A 17,208-nucleotide genomic window follows, 5' to 3' on the forward strand; every position below is an offset into this window, starting at 1 on the left:
AGGCATTTATTCTCATAGCTCTGGAGGCTAGAAGTCCAAAATCAAGGTGTCTACAGGGCCATGCTGCCTCCACAGCTCCAGGGGGCAATCTTTCAGCTTCTGGGGACTCCCGGGTTCCTTGGCCTGTGACCGCACTGTTCAATCCCTGCCTCTGACTTCACAGGGCCCTTTCCTCTCCTGAGTCTCTGTTTGCAAATCTCCCATCCCTTTCTCTTGTAAGAACACTCTAACTGGATTTAGGATCCACCCCAACCCAGGGTGACCTCATTCTGAGATCCATACTCTAATTACATCTGCAAAAATCCTTATTCCAAATAAGGTCACGTTCTGAGGTGCAGAATAGACATGAATTTTGGGGAGATCCTTTTCAACCCACAACAATGTGGAAGGCCAATGTGTCTTCTCCATCATTTGGTCCTGCTGCAAGGAGGGTGTGTTTCTGGACCTGTGTATTATTTGTGTATCATTTCATTTATGCCTAGTGTTCCATTATTGGGAATTATTTCTGTCCTCCTTCTCAAGGTCATTGCCAAGGTCTGATTGCAAAAGTTTTAAAAATTGCAACTTAAGGCATAAATGGGTTAATTTTTTTTTTTTTTTTTTTTGAGACAGGGTGTCTGTTACCCAGGCTGGAGTGCAGTGGCACAGTCATGGCTCACTGCAGCCTTGGCCTCCTGGGTTCAAATGATCCTCCCACCGCAGCCCTGCTGAGTAGCTGAAACTATAGACATTCGCCACCACACTCGGCTAATTTTCTTTAATTTATTTTTTGTAGTGATGGAGTCTCACTCTGTTGCCCAGGCTGGTCTCAAACTCCTGGGCTCAAGCGATCCTCCCTCTTCAGCCTCCCAAGTAGCTAGGATTTCAGGTATGCACCACCACGCTTGGCTAATTTTTAAAATTATTTTAGAGACAGGGTCTCACTATGTTGCCCATTCTAGTCTGGAACTCCTGGCCTCAAGCGATCCTCCCACCTCAGCCTCCCAAAGTGCTGGGATTACAGGCATGAGTCACTGTGTCTGACCTCATTTTAACTTTCAAAAAGTTCTAAAATCCCAGAAGACAAGTTGTCTTCAAAGATCCTCTGCCTCCCAGGGTCAATGACTCCAGTTTTCTGGGAGGCCCAGGGGGCCCCTCGGCAATGAGGTGGAAATCGTCAGCATGGCAGGGTGGACGCCTCTGATACCTGCCCTGCTGACCAGGCTGGAAGTTGCTGTGGCATCCTCAGGCCTCCAGATGGTGAGCCTCCCTGAGTCAATGGCGAGGTGATGGCCGACGTTCCCAGCCCAGCACTTGCTCCGGGTAGGAGCTGGGCACCTTGGAGCATGGCAGGGCTAGGGAGTGGGGGACAGTGGACTGGGAGCTCTGCCTGGTACCAGCGGCCCACTTGCCCATGACAGGCTCCTCAAGGGTCCTGGGCAGTCACAGATCCCAACCCCTCATTTTGGGGTTTTGTTTTGTTTTTGAGACAGAGGCTTGCTCTGTTGTCCAGGCTGGAATGCAGTGGCACAATCTCGTCTCACTGCAACCTCTGCCTCCTGGAATCAAGTGATCCTCCTGCCTCAGCCTCCTGAGTAGCTGGGATTACAGGCGCCCGCCACGACGCCCGGCTAATTTTTGTACTTTTAGTAGAGACGGGGTTTCACCATGTTGGCCAGGCTGGTCTCAAACTCCTGACCTCAAGTGATCCACCTACCTCGGCCTCTCAAAGTGCTGGGATTACAGGCATGAGCCACCACACTGGGTCTCCAACCCCTTTTTTTATCAATAGGGAAACCGAGGCTGACAGAGAAGAAAGGGCTTGGCCAGGGTCACCTCCTGAATTAGGAACCATGTGGCCTGTCCCACTGCTGCTCAGCAAGAACCTCCCCAGCCTCCTCCACACCTGTTAGGGCAGCCCCAGTGCCTCTGCCAGAGTGGCTCTTCATTCTCCCCAGCTCACCCTGAGAGGAGAGCGGGAAATGACCAGCCCTGTGCACAGATGAGGGAAACTGAGACTCAGACTGGCAGAGGGGCAGAGGGGGTCAGAACCAGTCAGCAGACACTGGGCTCAGATCCCCCCGCCAGTGCCCCAAGGACACAGAGACACCAGACCCCCCAGTGTGCCGCGGCAGGGTCCACTGGGGCTGGGAGGAGCCCTCCTAGCCCCGCCTGGCCTCTGGGGTTCTGTCTTCTTTCCTGACCGTGCCTTGCCTGTCTCCTGCAGGCTGTGCTGTGGCCCAGGGCCCAGGACAGAGCAGGGTTTGCTGGACCGGTGACAGTCGCATCCTTGCCTGTGTCTGTGAGTTTGGCGGGCCTCGTCTGTGTTTCTCCTTGCTCTCATCAGGGGCTGGGAGACCGGGGTACTGCAGAGAGGGTGCCCTGGTCGCAGATACCAGGGGCACTCAACCGAGTCCCTGTGGGTCTTGGGTAATTAATTAATCATTGGGCCGTTTAAAGATTAACAGCAGGACGGTGGGAGAATGGCTTAACTCATGATAGGGGCACGGAAGGGGAGCTTTCCCTGTCCCTGTCGACCCCTGGACTCTGTGATATGAGTTAGGGGGTATGGAGGCTGGCTCTGCACCCCCACCCCTTCCTTCCTGTCTGCCCACCATCCCCAGCCTCTCCTGGTCCCCAAGGAGGGGGGTTCTGAGCTCACAGTGAGGGGCTTGAGGCGTATAAGATGGGGCCAGAAAGTTCCAGGAGCAAGAACCAGCCGCAGTTGGGCTTCCCTCCACAGGCACTGGCTGGGCTGTGTGGCCTTAGGCGAGTCACTGCCCACTCTGAACCTCGTTTCAGAGGAGGGCACTCACAGCAGGTGGTTGCAGATGGGAAGAGAGGACGTCCACACTGTCCACGAGCTCAGCGCACAGTAGGTGCTCAGGACTTCCTCCCAGAGACTCGACACCCCAAGTCTTCGCGTTGTGCCCCCTCGTGTCAGAGCCACTCTCCTCTGAGAATAATAGTCAAGTTCATTCTAACCCCCAGGCAAGGGAAAGGGTCCCTTTCTCCAGGGCCAGGTGGGGAAGGTGAGTCAGCTTCCTCACCTGGGCTGATTCACACCTGTGTGGAGTGCGGGTGGGGAGGAGACAGAGACTATTCCTCCCTTCGCTCTGGGGCAGCCCATTCCAGCAGGCCTGAGCTGGAAGGGGGAGGGATTCAAGATGAACCAATACCCCCAGAAGGGGTGATATGGTCCCGAGGCCCAGAGAGGGGCGAAGATGCCTGCCCTCACACAGCACCTCAGAGGCAACACCACGGGCAGGGAGCCATGACCCTGCTCCTTTCCCCAGCTGCTCCTCCACTGTTAGGTAACAGAGCCCAGCCCCACCTCCCACCAGCCCACCCAGCTGAGCCGGCCATCGCCCCTCCCTCCAAAGGTGCCCAAGGGGTCAGTGAGCCCCTGTGACTCAGGGCGGGAAAGACCCGTGAAGTCATCCAGCGGCCGGGGCCACCTCCTGAGGCTGTCCTGGCCTCTGGTCTCACCGGCCTGGGAGTTCCCCAGCTGTCTGCTCCCCTGGCTGCAGGACAGAGGCAGCCGCCGGTGTGGATGGAGCATGACCTCAGAGGCTCCCAGCCCTTGGCTCAATGCCGTCGGCCCCAACTGCAGGCCTCAGAGGAGCAGGCCCCAGGCCCGCCCAGCGCCTTCCTCGTGGCCCCACCACGGAGAAGAGTGAAGGAGACACCTCGAACACAGTGTTGGCGCAGGGCCCAGGGCTTGGCTGGAGAGGGAGTCAGGGAACACTGTGATCATTTGTATGATCTGCGGGGCACCCACCTGAGCAGCCAAAGCTTCATCACTGTGCTCATCAGAAAGGCGACAAATGGTGTTGCCCAGGACCCAAGGCCCCAGACACTGGAGGAACAGGGACACAGGCTCAAATCTGACCTTCCCCAGCCTTGAGGCTTGGACCCCTTCACGCCCCCTCTCTGGACCCCTTCACGCCCCCTCTCTGGGCCTCAGTTTTCTCATCTGTCAAAGGAGCTGGTGACAGCTGCCTGGCCTGGTGGCTGGGAGGACAAAATCAGTGTCCCAGCAGGAAACAGACAAGGGGTATGCAAGGAAAAGATCTTAGAGACCTGGCTGAGGGGACTAGATCCAAGCTGTGCTAATGGCAGGAGCTATTTCCAACCCGGAGCCGAGGGCTCTGACAGCCAGTGAGAGCTGGAGGCAGAAAGAGGGCTGAGAGACAGGAGCTACAGCTGTAGGGGCCGGCTGGGATGAGGAGGGAGCAGGGGTCACCCCACTTCTCCCCATGGCCCCCCTGTCTGCAGCGCCTCCCCCTGGCCAACCCCACTGCCCAGAGAGCCCAGTTCAGGGCACAGCCCGCGGGGAGGGGCCTGATGAAAATGGCTTCACAGCCACCTCTTACTGAGCACAGCCACGGCCAAGCTTCGTCCTGGGCCCTGGGGACACAGTGGTGCGCAAGACAGCCCAAGACCCCATTCCACGAGGAGAGAAAGAGGGAGAGTGAAGGAGGTGAATTGGGCAGCAAGAGATGTTTTAATCCAAGGAAAACCCTACAGGGCGATCAGAGACCCCTTACACAGACGAGGCCCCGACGGTTGGTGGCACAGGGAACCGACGCCTGCCCCCATCACTCTTCCAAGGCCCCACAGAGGTTGCTCAGGCTTGCAGGGGGTGGGGACCCAGGAAGGCTCGGTCAGCCAGCGCCTCCCTGGGCCATTCCAGGCTCTGAGCTGCCGTGTGGCGGGGTGGGCAGGCTGCCAGCCGAGGGAGCCCACCACAGGGGAGCCGTGTGCATTCCCAGACGGGCACATTCCCGGGCACATTCCTGCCGGGGAGCCACTCTGCCACCCGCACCGCCCCGCCCGCTCCCCGCACACAGTGCCCATTGTCTGCCCAGACACTTTGAGCTGCCGCCGCCCCCGGCCTCTGCCACATCCCCACGCCTCCCTTTCCCGGGTGGGGCTCCACAAGCCCAAGCACCCCTCTCCTGGTCCCCAGCCCTGAAGGGCACCTGCCATTTTTCTTGGAACCAAGGAAGGATTAGAGGAGGGAAGTGACTTGCCCCAAGTCACACAGGCCAAATCCAAATCCAAATCCCTGGACCCCCAGTGAATTACTCTTCCCTAAGAACCCTTCCTCCTCCCAACCCTACACCCCTGGGCTGCGGGGCACCCTGGCTCAACAGCTTAGACCCTGCCTCCTGAGCACCTGCTGTGGGCCAGGCCCTGTGCCGGCCCCTACAACCCTGCCTCCCTCACGGGGCCCAGCAGCCCTGCTGGGTGTGAATTTCCCCAATATCACACAGGACCAGGAAGCTGACTCAGGGCGGGGAGGAGTTTGCCAAGGCCACCCAGCGAGGAAGCCAGTGAGCCGAGATCCAGCCCGGCCCACGCGCTTTCCACCTCCTGCAGGGAACAGTACAGGGCAGAGCCTGCTGGGGTGGGAGGGACTGTGGGAGTGTCCAGGGGAGAAAGTGGTGTCCAAACAAAGCCTTGAGGGGAAGGGCCCTGCTCCACAAAGGCGGGCTGGTTTGCTGAAGCCGGGTAGGCCTTTGTTTGCTCATTCACCCAGCATGTGGATCCAAGCCCTAGACGAGGCACCGGGCTAGGATACAGGTGAGATACAGGGTGAGGAGTCAGGACAGCCTGACTTCAGGCAGATGGGTCAGATAATATGCACTCCCCAGGTGATAAAACCAGGGGGTCGGCGGGCTCGGTGGCTCACGCATTTAATCCCAACACTTTGGGAGGCTGAGGCGGGTGGATCACGAGGTCAGGAGTTCAAGACCAGCCTGGCCAATATGGTGAAACCTCATCTCTACTACAAATATAAAAATTAGCCCAGCATGGTGGCGTGCGCCTATAGTCCCAGCTACTCGGGAGGCTGAGGCAGAAGAATTGCTTGAACCGTGGAGGAGGAGGTTGCAGTGAGCCGAGATCGCGCCACTGCACTCCAGCCTGGCGACAGAGCGAGACTCCATCTCAAAAAAAAAAAAAAAAAAAAAAAAACAGGGAGCCGCTGAGTCTAAAATATCAAGCCCCCCTTCCTTCCCACTCCCTACCCCTGGTTTCCATCTCTCCTTAGCGCTCATGGGGCTGGTTCTAACCCACTTCCATGCCCATCAGTAGAGAGTCACTCTACTGAACTTCCCGGCTAAGAGGTTTTGCAGGCGCTGTTCCCTCCCACTGCTGACACCCTTCCCCAGGGAGCCTCAGGGCTTCTCCCTCGCTTCCTTCAGGGCCCTGTTCAAACAAGACCACCCTATAAAAATAGCAACTCCACGCCCACCCCCGCATGCAGTACGCATCTCCCCCTGACCCTGCACCCTTATTCTGGCTCTTCCCATGATCTGGTTTCCCACTTATTTACTTGCTTTTCATGTTTAATGTCTGCCCTCCCATCACCCCCACTAGAATGGAAGGTGTATGAGAGCTGGGATTTTTATCTGTTTTGCTGTATGAAGTAGATGAGGGAAGAATCAAGACTGATGATAAGATTATTTCAACTCAACATACCAGTAAAACCGGCTCCAAGATCAAGACAGAGAATATTTCCAGCCCCGAGAAGCTGCCCTGGCTCTCCTTCTGGTCAGTACCCACCCCTGCCCCCAAGGGTAACCACTCTCCCGTCACCAGGAGCCCACCCGGTCTGGACCTTCCTGTCAGTGAGACCAGCGTGTGATTTTTTGCAGGCGTGGGCTTTCTGCACTCGGCATGAGCTCCGCCCCTGCTGCTGCCTGTAGCCAGGGTGACCAGTGGGCTTTTACCTTAAGCAGCAGGTAGACAGTGGGGCTGGTGACAGCTGCGGGGATCCAGAGTTCTGGGAGGTGTGGCGGACCAGCTGGGCCCAGGACTGGGGTTGGAGGTGAAAGTCAGGCAACGTCAGCTCATCGACAGCATTTCAAGCCGTGGAATTTGAGTACTATTGAGCTGGCCGTGCCACTGATGGAATCGTTTCTTGCTGCTGCAAAATTGAGAGCCACATGCTACAGGTCAGGCCTTCTGCCCCCCTATCCGCTGTGAGGTGCTTGAAGGACTGGTTTGGAAACAGACCCCTATTTCAGAAGCAGAGTTGAGGCTTAGCAAGGGAGAATGACTGGCCCAAAGTCACTCGGCTGGTAGGTTTGGGCCAGGACTCCTCGCTCCGCACTGGACACCCCTGCACTGCCTTCTGGGTGTGCCAGGTTGGCATGGGGAGGCTGGGCTCACACCCAAATCAGGACATAGCCTATCGTGAGGGTCTGGGTGAGCTGGGAGGTGTTCAGAATAGAAGAGCAACCCATGAAGGCTCCCCGGAGGAAGCAGGCCTGGCGCTGAGTCACAGGAGCCTGGGGCAGGGTAACCCCCACCTGAAGTCACTGTCTCCCCAGCAGTGACATCATTAGCAAGCCAGAATGCGCAGGGCATACAGCTGGAGGACCAGGCAAGCTGAGGCGGGGGCCAAGTGGGTAGTTCGGGGCCAACCCCCATCAGCGGCCAATGGCCTCTAGAAGATGGCTGGGCCTCACACGCCTTGGAAACCAGAGCGAGAGGCCATCAGGGTGGGGAAGGCAGCCCATCACCTCCTGTCCAAGTGCCTCATTTTACAGGTAGAGGAACTGAGGCCTGAGGCAGGTCATGACTATCCCAGGATTACACGGCAAGTGAGGGGCGGATGCAGGAGAGGGGCCCAGGCCTCCTCCCTCCCAACAGTGTTCTGTCTACCCTCCAAGTTCTGTCTCGCCCAGCCAAGGGCCACTCTGCTCCCGCACTGCTGGGCTGGGGTGGTGGAAGAGATGGGAAAGTGGAAGAAGGCAGGGGCTGTGTTCAGAAGGGGCCCCTGAGGCTGTGAGGATGGTCCATGCCCTCAGGGAGTCAGGCTGGTGGAGGGGGAGGGAGCACAACTCAGAACTCATCTTCCTCCCCAACACGCTCCTCCCACAGTCCTATCTCCTCACCAGGCCCAGGAGCTGGCGCCTCAGCAACTGCTGCATTTTCAGGAATTTTGCAAACTGGCTTCAAAACACAGCCATAATTAGACGTCAAAGTATTTAAACTTACAGTTCAGGGCCAGGCATGGTGGCTCACGCCTGTAATCCCAGCACTTTGGGAGGCCGAGGCAGGTGGATCACTTGAGGTCAGGAGTTCAAGACCAGCCTGGCCAACATGGTGGAACCCAGTCTCTACTAAAAATACAAAAAAAAAAAAGAAAAAAGAAAAAACTAGCCAGGCGTGGTGGCGCACACTTGTAATCACAGCAACTCAGGAGGCTGAGGCAGGAGAATCACTTGAACCTGGAAGGCAGAGGTTGCAGTGAGCTGATATCGCACCACTGCATTCCAGCCTGGGTGACAGGGCAAGACTCTGTCTCAAAAAAAACAAAAGAACAACAACAAAAAAAAACTTACAATTTCAATAAACATTCAAAACTCATCACCCCCCAATTACTTGACCACATTCTCCTACGTATCTATGTTTTTGAGGTTATTTACATCTGTGGATCTGTGCTGGGAGACGTGCCCCTCTCCCCAACCCCAATGCAGGGACTTCAGGTTTCTAACTTGAACTTACCCGTGGTGGGTATGTTTACACCACAGAAATTGGCAAATGTGGCAAGTTAGGGATCTAAGCCAGCCCCCACCCTGCCCAGAGAGCCAGTTGTTAAACATTAACTGGAAGGGCGTGGTGGCTCACGCCTGTAATCCTAGCACTTTGGGAGCCCAAGACAGGCAGATCACCTGAGGTCAGGCGTTCGAGACCATCCTGGCTAACATGGTGAAACCCCATCTCTACTAAAAATACAAAAAATTAGCCGGGCGTGGTGGCGTGTGCCTGTAGTCCCAGCTACTCAGGAGGCTGAGGCAGGAGAATGGCGTGAACCTGGGAGGCAGAGCTTGCAGTGAGCCGAGATCACGCCACTGCCCTCCAGCCTGGGCGACAGAGCGAGACTCCGCCTCAAAAAAAAAAAAGAATAAATGACACAAAACAATAAAACAAAGATGCTGCGCCTGGCTTCAAAGTCCTGCCCTCTCCCATCCCGCAGCTACAGGGGGTCCTGGCTGATCTGTCTTCCTCCAGGCCAGTTCCAGCCTCTCCCCTTCTCCTTGGCCTCTCATTACGCAAGCCTCCGCTAAGACAGCTCCTCCAAGAGACCCTCCAGATCTCCCCAACCCCCCATCTCCCTGTAGAAGCAGCCCAGCCACTCGCTGACCCAGCACCCACTGGATTTGTGTCTTTGCACAAACCTCTCTGCGCTAATCTTCCAGATTGTGTCTGTCCTCACGCTAGACTGGAAGCCCTGTGTGGTGTGGGCAGGACTTCTCTCTGTCCCACTCATGATGTCTCTCCAGCACCTAGGGCAGTGCCTGGCATATAGTAGATGCTCAGTAAATACTTGAGCGAATGAGTCCATAGGAGGGCACAGGACTCTAAACTTGTTATCTATCATCTGTGCCCATGCAAGGAAAAGAAGTGTTGGGGGCATGGTCAGAACCCATCCCCCGTTCTCCCCCAGCCCACCCCAGCCTGTTCTGCCAGCCCCAGGCCGGGGCTCCCTCCCCAACTCTCCCTCAGTCCAGACTTCCAGCATGTGCTTGGTCCTTCCCACAGCAACCCCTTCCCTTGGGGCTGGTGGGGAACAGGCGGGAGGAATTCCTGGCCCCGAGTCAGAGGAGGTGCCCCGGCAGGCAGGCGGGAGGCAGCGCACACACGCCAGGGACTGCTCCAAATTCCAGCTCCCACGGGCCCGCTGGGAGCCCGCCAGGCAGGGCTGGGGAAGGGCAGGGAGCCCCTCCTCGCAGGAGCCAGGAGGGCACGGGAAGCCTACCGCAGGACAAGGGAAGAAGTCAGCGTGGAGACAGGGCGGGAGGGCCGGCCTGATGGCCCACCACTCCCAGCACCCAGATGGGAAGACTGAGGCCTCCTGACAGCAAACTCTGAGCTCCTGACTCCTCCCAGGCCAAAGACCTGAAGCGGCCAGTAGTGCATGGGGAGAGGGTTGGCTGTGACCAGAGACCAAACATTCAGGGATGAAGCGGGGGCGTCTGAGGGCCGATTAACAGGAGACCCATGGAAAGAGCCCCAGACTGGCTGTGGGGAGTCCTGGGCTACCCCAGCTCTCAGTCAGACCAGGAGGAGGCCCTGCCCCTGGCTGCAGGGCCTGGACGCCCCACTTGCCCAAGGCAGCCCCAGCACGTTCTGCCACTGGGAGTTCAGTGGGGCAACAGGAGAGGAGTCTCAGGGGAGGGCAGGGGAGGGCAGGGGAGGGCAGAGCTCCCGGGAGGCTCTCAGCCAGGCCTCTTCTGAGTCCTCTTCCTGTCCCTGCCCCCTCCCCTTCCTGGGTCAGGGCCAGGTGCGATGGGCTCAGGCAGCAGTCCCTCCCCAGCTGTCAGCGCTGGAGCTGCCGCCAACACCCACACCGGCACACCTGGCCTGCCCTGTGCCACACTGCCACCCGGCCACCACCCCTTTCCCAGCTCCTCCCTGGGCCCCACCAGCTCTTACGGCGCCCTCGGCCCACAGTGTGGTATCTGAACTCTGGACAGCTGGATCCAGACTTCCAGAACCACAGTGCCTTTGAACTAGAGAATCCTAGAACAACACATTCTTACAACCAGAAAATTCCGGGACCATCGACTACTGGGATATTTTCCATTCTAGTCCCAAGAATTCGTAGAACTAAATAATTTCAGGAATGCGTATCTTACAAACGAAGATCAGACCATGGAAACTAGGACTTCTAATTTCAGGAGCGAGGGCTCTTAATTCTCAAGTAACAATCCCATTGTCCCAGAGGATAGAAGCCCCATGTTCTTCACACCACCCAGACTAACAGACACCCAGGAGCAGAGCAAGGCGCTTTGGTTGGGGGCCATTCACAAGGCCTGTACCTTGTGAGCCTGCGCCTGGAACAGAGAAGGCAGGAAGGGACAGGGGAAGAGAGAGGGCACCTCTGAGCAAACTGGAGGCGCTGAGGGCCTCTCCTCCAGGCCCAGGGAGGCTCCCTCCACCTTGGCCAAGAGAGGGGAAACGAAGAGAAAAAACGCAGTTGATGCCACAGGGTTTGGGCGGCGGGTGTGTGGTCACCGGGGGTGGCAGGAGCTCTCTCCTTCCTGGCGGGAGTTTGGAATTTTCTCCTGGCAGGAAGGGCCCACCCTCCCAGGAATGGAAAACACTCCTTGGCAGCTGGCCCCTGAGGCTTGCAAGGTCTTTGACAATCAAACGCGATTGTCCTCCCTGCCTGACCCCCAACACAGTGCAGGGGGGAGACCGAGGCAGATTCTCCGTCTAAATCAAGAATCTGAATCTGCCTCTGGCGGATTCCATTCTTGCCCATCTGTGATCGTGGAATGTCAGAGCCCAAGAGAGACACAGGGGTGGGGCCAGGTGAGTCCCTGCCAGGGCAGGTGGGAGCTGAGACCAGAGAGGGCAGTGGTTTGCCTGAAGTCACTCAGCAGGCTGAGGAGGTCTCTTATTGGCTCCACTGAGGCTCACTTCCAGGGCCTCCGCCAGGAAACCTTCACAGGCCCCTTTGCCCCTTAAGACTTTTTCAGCCACCGAGTCGGGTGCTCTGGCTTTTTTTTTTTTTTTGAGATGGAGTTTCGCTCTTATTGCCCAGGCTGGAGTGCAATGGCGTAATCTTGGCTCACTGCAACCTCCGCCTCCTGGGTTCAAGCGATTCTTCTGCCTCAGCCTCCTGAGTAGCTGGGATTACAGGCACCCGCCACCACGCCGGGCTAATTCTTTGTATTTTTAGTAGACACAGGGTTTCACCATGTTGGCCAGGCTGGTCTCGAACTCCTGACCTCAGGTGATCCATCCGCCTCGGCCTCCCAAAGTGCTGGGTTTACAGGCGTGAGCCACCGCGCCCGGCCTCTGGCCCTGTTTTCTAAGTGTTTGGTATGAGTGTCTCACCTTCCTGACCTGGGCTGTGATGGTGCCTCCCCATCAGCCTGGAACCAGATGGAAACCATGAGCTGAGGCCTCCGAGCCCCTGCTCAAAAACCTCCCATGGCTCTGCACGGCTCCAGGACAAAGTCCAATGCAGCCTGGCACTTGGGGGAGGTGGAACATGTGGCTGCACTCCAGCCCCATCCCTTGGTCCCACTGGGCATGGGTATCCCCGAGTTTCTCGCAGCCCTCACCCATCCATCTCTCCCCCTGCAGGCTTGACCCTTGCTGCCCTGTCCCTGTGGCCACTTTCTCTTCTTCCTCTTTCCTGGCCTGTTCAGCCTCCCCTGAGACCGCCTTCCTCCGGGCTCCCTGCCTGGGGTGGGACCCCTCCCCAGCTTGCCTCCCCAGCTTGCCTCCCCAGCCCTCACACCACTGCACAGCACTGGCGGCCTCTCCCTCTGCCTGGCGCCCCCTCCCTGAGGCTGGCCTGGGTCTCGCTCACACTGGATCTTAGACTGACGCCCGTGGTGAATGTGAGCTGACGGCCAAATGTGGGTCTCAGCCGCTCACACGCCTTCATTCATCAAATCCTGGCAACAACAGGAGGTGGCCTGTTAATTAAAATTAGCCAAGCATGGCGGCAGGAGCCTCAGCATGTCCATTTCTCAGATGATGAGACTGAGGCACAGTGTGGTTAAATCACTTCCTCAAGGTCACGCAGGAAGTGGTGCAGCTGGGAATGGAACCCTGAAAGTCCGCTCCAGAGTTTACACGCATCCTGTCCTCTTAGGTCACTCTGCCCCAGGGGAAAAGGACAGAAGCACCCAGCCCCACAGCTCTGCGGAACCAGAACCCCTGTCTGGAGCCCCTGGGCCAGAGACCACCTAGCTCTGCCCCCTGAGGCTCTGAGAGGTCCCTGGTTCCAGAATCCACTGCCCCCCACCCCACAATATACACTCACACAGACAGACATGCAGACACACAAGTCACACACAGACCCAGACACATGCCCTGGGCTCCGGACCGGCTGCAGGAAGCACGCAGCTGCCCGAGCCTTTTTCACTTCAGCTTTTCCTAAATTTGCTTTGAGGAAGTTGCTGCACCTTGGAGTTCTCCCCGGTCTCTCACGCGCTCCAGACCACATCTCCCCCGCCCTCCCTTCTCTGGAAGCCTGGAGAACAGAGACCCAAATAAAGGGCCCTGCCCTAGTGGGACTCGGGGAGACACGCAGTGACCATGACACAGAAGTGCATCCTGCTGCCGGTGGCAGGCGACAGTGCCTGGAACAGAGGAGGCAGAGTGGGGTGCGGGGTCAGGAGCCCTGGGGCAGCAAGGTTGCAGCTGAGAAAGTGGCCTCTGCAAATTTCCAGGGACGAGCATTCCAAGAATCGGGGAGAGCCAGTGCAAAGGCGCCCGAGGCGGTGGCCAGCCTGCTGCATTGCAGGAACAGAGAGGAGACCTGTGTGGCCATGAGGCCTGGGAGGAGCGGGTCCTGGGCACTGTGGTGGCCTGAGCTCTCACTCTGCATCCAGCAGAGCTATGGAGGGTGTGCAGCAGAGGCAGGGTGCAATCTGACAGGGGTTTGTTTGACTCTGGCCGCCGGGTAAAGGATAGATGTGAGCATCAAGAACAGAAGTGGGGCTGGGCACGGTGGCTCACGCCTGTAATCCCAGCACTTTGGAAGGCTGAGGCAGGTGGATCATTTGAGGTCAGTAGTTCGAGACCAGCCTGGCCAACATGGTGAAATGCCATCTCTACTAAAAATACAACAACAACAAAAAATTAGCCAAGTGTGGTGGCAGGAGCCTGTAATCGCAGCTACTCCAGAGGCTGAGGCAGGAGAATCACTCGAACCCGGGAGACTGAGGTTGCAGTGAGCCAAGATTGTGCCACTGCACTCCAGCCTGGGCAACAGAGGGAGACACCATCTCAAAAAAAAAAAAAAATAGAACAGAAGCAGGAAACCAGGCAGGAGGCCAGAGGGGATTGGGTGCTGCTGTTCCACCAGGGCCATGCAGCCCTGACCATCTGGGTGACCCTGGGCAAGTCACCTCATTCATTCTTAGTTTATGCGTGCGTGCCTTCAGGCAATGGGTCTTTCAACAAACGTTCATTGAACTCCTACGATGTGCTCAGCACTGTGCTGGGTGCAGAGGGTACAAAAAAGGCAAGACAGACACAACCCGGGACCCAAGGAGGTCCCCGCTTGGCTGGGAAGATGGACGTGGAGCACAAAGTGGGGAGGGAGAAGCAGAGAGTGCAAAAGAGCAAACATCAGGCAACCCCGATGCAGGTGGGGGTCAGGGAAGGCTTCCAGGAGGAGGTGACATTGGAGCCAAGCCCGGAAGGGCAAGTTGGGGTTCCCACCACAGACAAGAGGGAATGGCATTCTGGGCAGGAAGAATGGCCACACAGGAGCTCTGAGCATTGGCCTCCTGCTTCCCCAAGGGGCTTCCTCTCCTCTACCTCCCCAGGTAGACGAGCCCAGAGGAGCCTGGCTGTGGAGCCCAGTTTCTTCTCCTGTGAAACGGGGGTGACCTTTGTGCCTGCCGCCCCCTTCCTCAGGTGTGAGGAGCAAATGGACCATGCACGACAAGAGCAGGTGCAATGCCTGGCTCATGGGGCACAACGAGCCATGAGATCCACTTCCCACGCCCACCCACCCATCCAGGATGGAGAAGTGAGTACCCTGGGATGAGGTCCAATGGAAGATCTCAGGGAAGGCCTCCCACAGCCCACCCGCAAATATCTCCCTAACTCACTGCCTGCGTGCCTGAAGTCTCTCTCACAAACTCATTCCGAGGTAGGAGGTCGGACTTGACTCCAGAGGCACAGCTCAGACACTGGACCAAATTGAGGACTAGCTAAAACAGGTCGGTGAAGCACCTCCCCCTAAGACACGCCCACCAGTGTGCCATATCAGTTTACCATTGCCATGGCAACTCCCTGAAATTGCCAACCTCTTCTATAGCATTGACCTAACAACCCAGAAGTTGCCCCCTTGTCCTGTAAATTTCTGCATAACCCGCCCCTTCATTTGCATATAATTAAAGTAGGTATAAATATGAGGGCAACCCTGCTTCTGAGCTGCTGGTCTGGGCCCACTGCCTATGGGGTACCCCTGCTCCAGGAAGAGCGAGACCTCTGCTGCTACTGTACACTGTCACTTCAGTGAAAGGTGCTGTTTAACACCATCTGCTCGCCCTTGAATTCTTTCCTGGGAGAAGCCAAGAACCCTCCAAGGCTAAGCCCTAATTTGGCCAGCCCTTTCTTGTCCTGCATCAATCAATTCCTTGGCATCATGAATGCCCACCCTTCCTGTTCAGGTTAACCCTGGCAGGGCATTGCTCAGCCTTCACAGCTCAGCTCAAGCCCCCTCTTTCAGGAAGCCTTCCCTGATTGCTAGAGCCCACAGCATCTCTCTGTCAGTCTTTTCACTCTGTACTTCCTTTGAGCTTTGGAGTCCCAGCCTCACAGCTGAAAGGGCTCTGAGAAATTGTGCAACCCTGCCCTCCCTCAGCCTGAGCCCCCATGCCACAGACAAGGAAACTGAGGCCCAGACAGGCCTCACCAAGCCTGCACCATGAGTTCTCAGGAGAGCTGGCACAGGAGGCCACCCCAGTGCCCATCCCGGTCACTGTCCACTATGCCATGCAGCCAATGCAGACTGGGTTTGCCATTCATTATTTATTTATTTATTTATTTATTTATTGTATTATTATTATTATTATTTTGAAACACAGTATCACTCTGTCGCCCAGACTGGAGTGCAGTAATGCGATCTCAGCTCACTGCAACCTCCACCTCCCGGGTTCAAGCGATTCTCCTGCCTCAGCCTCCTGAGTAGCTGGGATTACAGGCACCCACCACCAGGCCCCGCTAATTTTTGTATTTTTAGTAGAAACGGGGTTTCGCCATGTGGGCCAGGCTGGTCTCAAACTCCTGACCTCAGGTGATCCACCTGCCTCAGTCTCCCAAAGTGCTGGGATTACAGACGTGAGCCGCTGCGCCTGGCCCCATTTGCATGTTTTTAATAAATTATAAAATCCTTCACACATGCCGAAAGAAGGGAACAGCTATCTCTCTGCAACATGGGAATTTCTCTGCAACTTGCCCTTTTTGCTCTGCACTGAGAGGTCCCTCCGTGAGGGGCGTCTGTGACTCCAGCTCCACCTGCACTGCCACGTGACGCTCCCAGGCCGAGGAGACAACGCTGTGCATGATGGCCTCAGGGCCAGTGGACTTTTGGATGGTTTCCAGGCTCATGCTATTGATCAGGTTTTTAAAGATCAAAGTGTAGTGGCCAGTTGTGGTGGCGTCCGTCCGTAATCCCAGCACTTTGGAAGGCCGAGGCTGGAGAATTGCTTGAGCCCAGGAGTTCAAAACCAGCCTGGGTGACATAGTGAGGCCCTGTCTCTACAAAATAATTTTTTTTAAATTAGCCAGGCATAGAGCTGGGCACAGTGGCTCACGCCTGTAATCTCAGAACTTTGGGAGGCTGAGGCGGGCTGATCACGAGGTCAGGAGTTGGAGACCAGCCTGGCCAATATAGTCAAACCCGTCTCTACTAAAAATACAAAAATTAGCTGGGCGTGGTGGCACACGCCTGTAGTCCCAGCTACTCAAGAAGCTGAGGCAGAAGAAATGCTTGAACCCAGGAGGCAGAGGTTGCAGTGAGCTGAGATTGCACCACTGCACTCCAGCCTGGGCAACAGAGCAAGACTCCGTCTAAAAAAACAAATTTGCCAGGCGTGGTGGCATGCACCTGTAGTCCCAGCTACTTGGGAGGCTGGGGCAGGAGGATCACTTGTGCCAGAAGGTCGAGGCTGTGATGAGCCAGGATGGCATCACTGCACTCCAGCCTGGGCAACAGAATAAGACTCCGTCTCAAAAATAAAAAATAAAAAAAGGTCAAAGTCTGCCAACTCCTGAATTCAAGGCCTCGTGTAAAACAAGCTCACCCAAACAGGGGTTTCATAGGAGCGGCTGGTAGGCGCTTCATTCGTCCCTCTGTCCCAGTCTCTTCCACCTCCCAGTTCTTCACTGAGCACCTACTGTGTGCTGGACCCTGCTGGCTGCCAGGCCTGCAGAGGTAACCCTGAGACAGAGGCTGGGGAGGGCCATGGTGGGAGGGCAGCAGCTTTGCAGCTCCAGCCTGTTGCCGCCAGATCACCCTATTGCCTAAAGAAGCTGGAAATGTGAGTTCTGCGTGAAAGCAAAGGTCAGTACCCTTTAATTTTCTTTTGCAACTCTGAGGACCAAACAAAGCATAACTGCGAGCTGGGCTGGCCCTTGAGCTGCCAATTGCCAGCCCAGGCAGCTCTTTTCCACGCACCACACCAGGATTGTAGACAGGGACACCGAGGCACAGGTGGAAGGGCGACT

General features: G+C 56.7%; 1 long non-coding RNA gene across 2 annotated transcripts, besides 5 other annotated features; it reads left to right on the forward strand.

The window, feature by feature from the left end:
- The first annotated feature begins 5,444 nt into the window (after positions 1-5,444).
- On the forward strand, positions 5,445-8,375 carry LOC124905119 (uncharacterized). 2 transcript variants are annotated; one of them, XR_007068105.1, is made up of 3 exons: positions 5,455-5,568; positions 6,367-6,540; positions 6,645-6,729. It is a non-coding gene; the product is annotated as an uncharacterized LOC124905119 (long non-coding RNA). The 2 variants fall into 2 exon arrangements; XR_007068104.1 differs by having other exon boundaries at positions 5,445-5,568; positions 6,367-8,375.
- Positions 7,074-7,934: an enhancer, noted in NCBI's record as "H3K4me1 hESC enhancer chr22:39690515-39691375 (GRCh37/hg19 assembly coordinates)". NCBI's record gives its function as "activates a minimal SCP1, AML or CMV promoter by ChIP-STARR-seq in primed H9 embryonic stem cells {active_cell/tissue: H9 hESC(primed)}" and the evidence as "EXISTENCE:reporter gene assay evidence [ECO:0000049][PMID:30033119]".
- Positions 9,236-9,901: an enhancer, noted in NCBI's record as "H3K27ac-H3K4me1 hESC enhancer chr22:39692677-39693342 (GRCh37/hg19 assembly coordinates)". NCBI's record gives its function as "activates a minimal SCP1, AML or CMV promoter by ChIP-STARR-seq in primed H9 embryonic stem cells {active_cell/tissue: H9 hESC(primed)}" and the evidence as "EXISTENCE:reporter gene assay evidence [ECO:0000049][PMID:30033119]".
- Positions 9,902-10,565: an enhancer, noted in NCBI's record as "H3K27ac-H3K4me1 hESC enhancer chr22:39693343-39694006 (GRCh37/hg19 assembly coordinates)". NCBI's record gives its function as "activates a minimal SCP1, AML or CMV promoter by ChIP-STARR-seq in naive H9 embryonic stem cells {active_cell/tissue: H9 hESC(naive)}" and the evidence as "EXISTENCE:reporter gene assay evidence [ECO:0000049][PMID:30033119]".
- Positions 10,188-10,482: a silencer, noted in NCBI's record as "tiled region #2181; K562 Repressive non-DNase unmatched - State 7:EnhWF". NCBI's record gives its function as "represses a minimal TATA promoter and a strong SV40 promoter by Sharpr-MPRA in K562 cells {active_cell/tissue: K562}" and the evidence as "EXISTENCE:reporter gene assay evidence [ECO:0000049][PMID:27701403]".
- Positions 10,188-10,482: an enhancer, noted in NCBI's record as "tiled region #2181; HepG2 Activating DNase matched - State 4:PromP". NCBI's record gives its function as "activates a minimal TATA promoter and a strong SV40 promoter by Sharpr-MPRA in HepG2 cells {active_cell/tissue: HepG2}" and the evidence as "EXISTENCE:reporter gene assay evidence [ECO:0000049][PMID:27701403]".

This window comes from Homo sapiens, chromosome 22 (assembly GCF_000001405.40).
Source record: "Homo sapiens chromosome 22, GRCh38.p14 Primary Assembly".
NCBI lineage: Eukaryota > Metazoa > Chordata > Mammalia > Primates > Hominidae > Homo > Homo sapiens.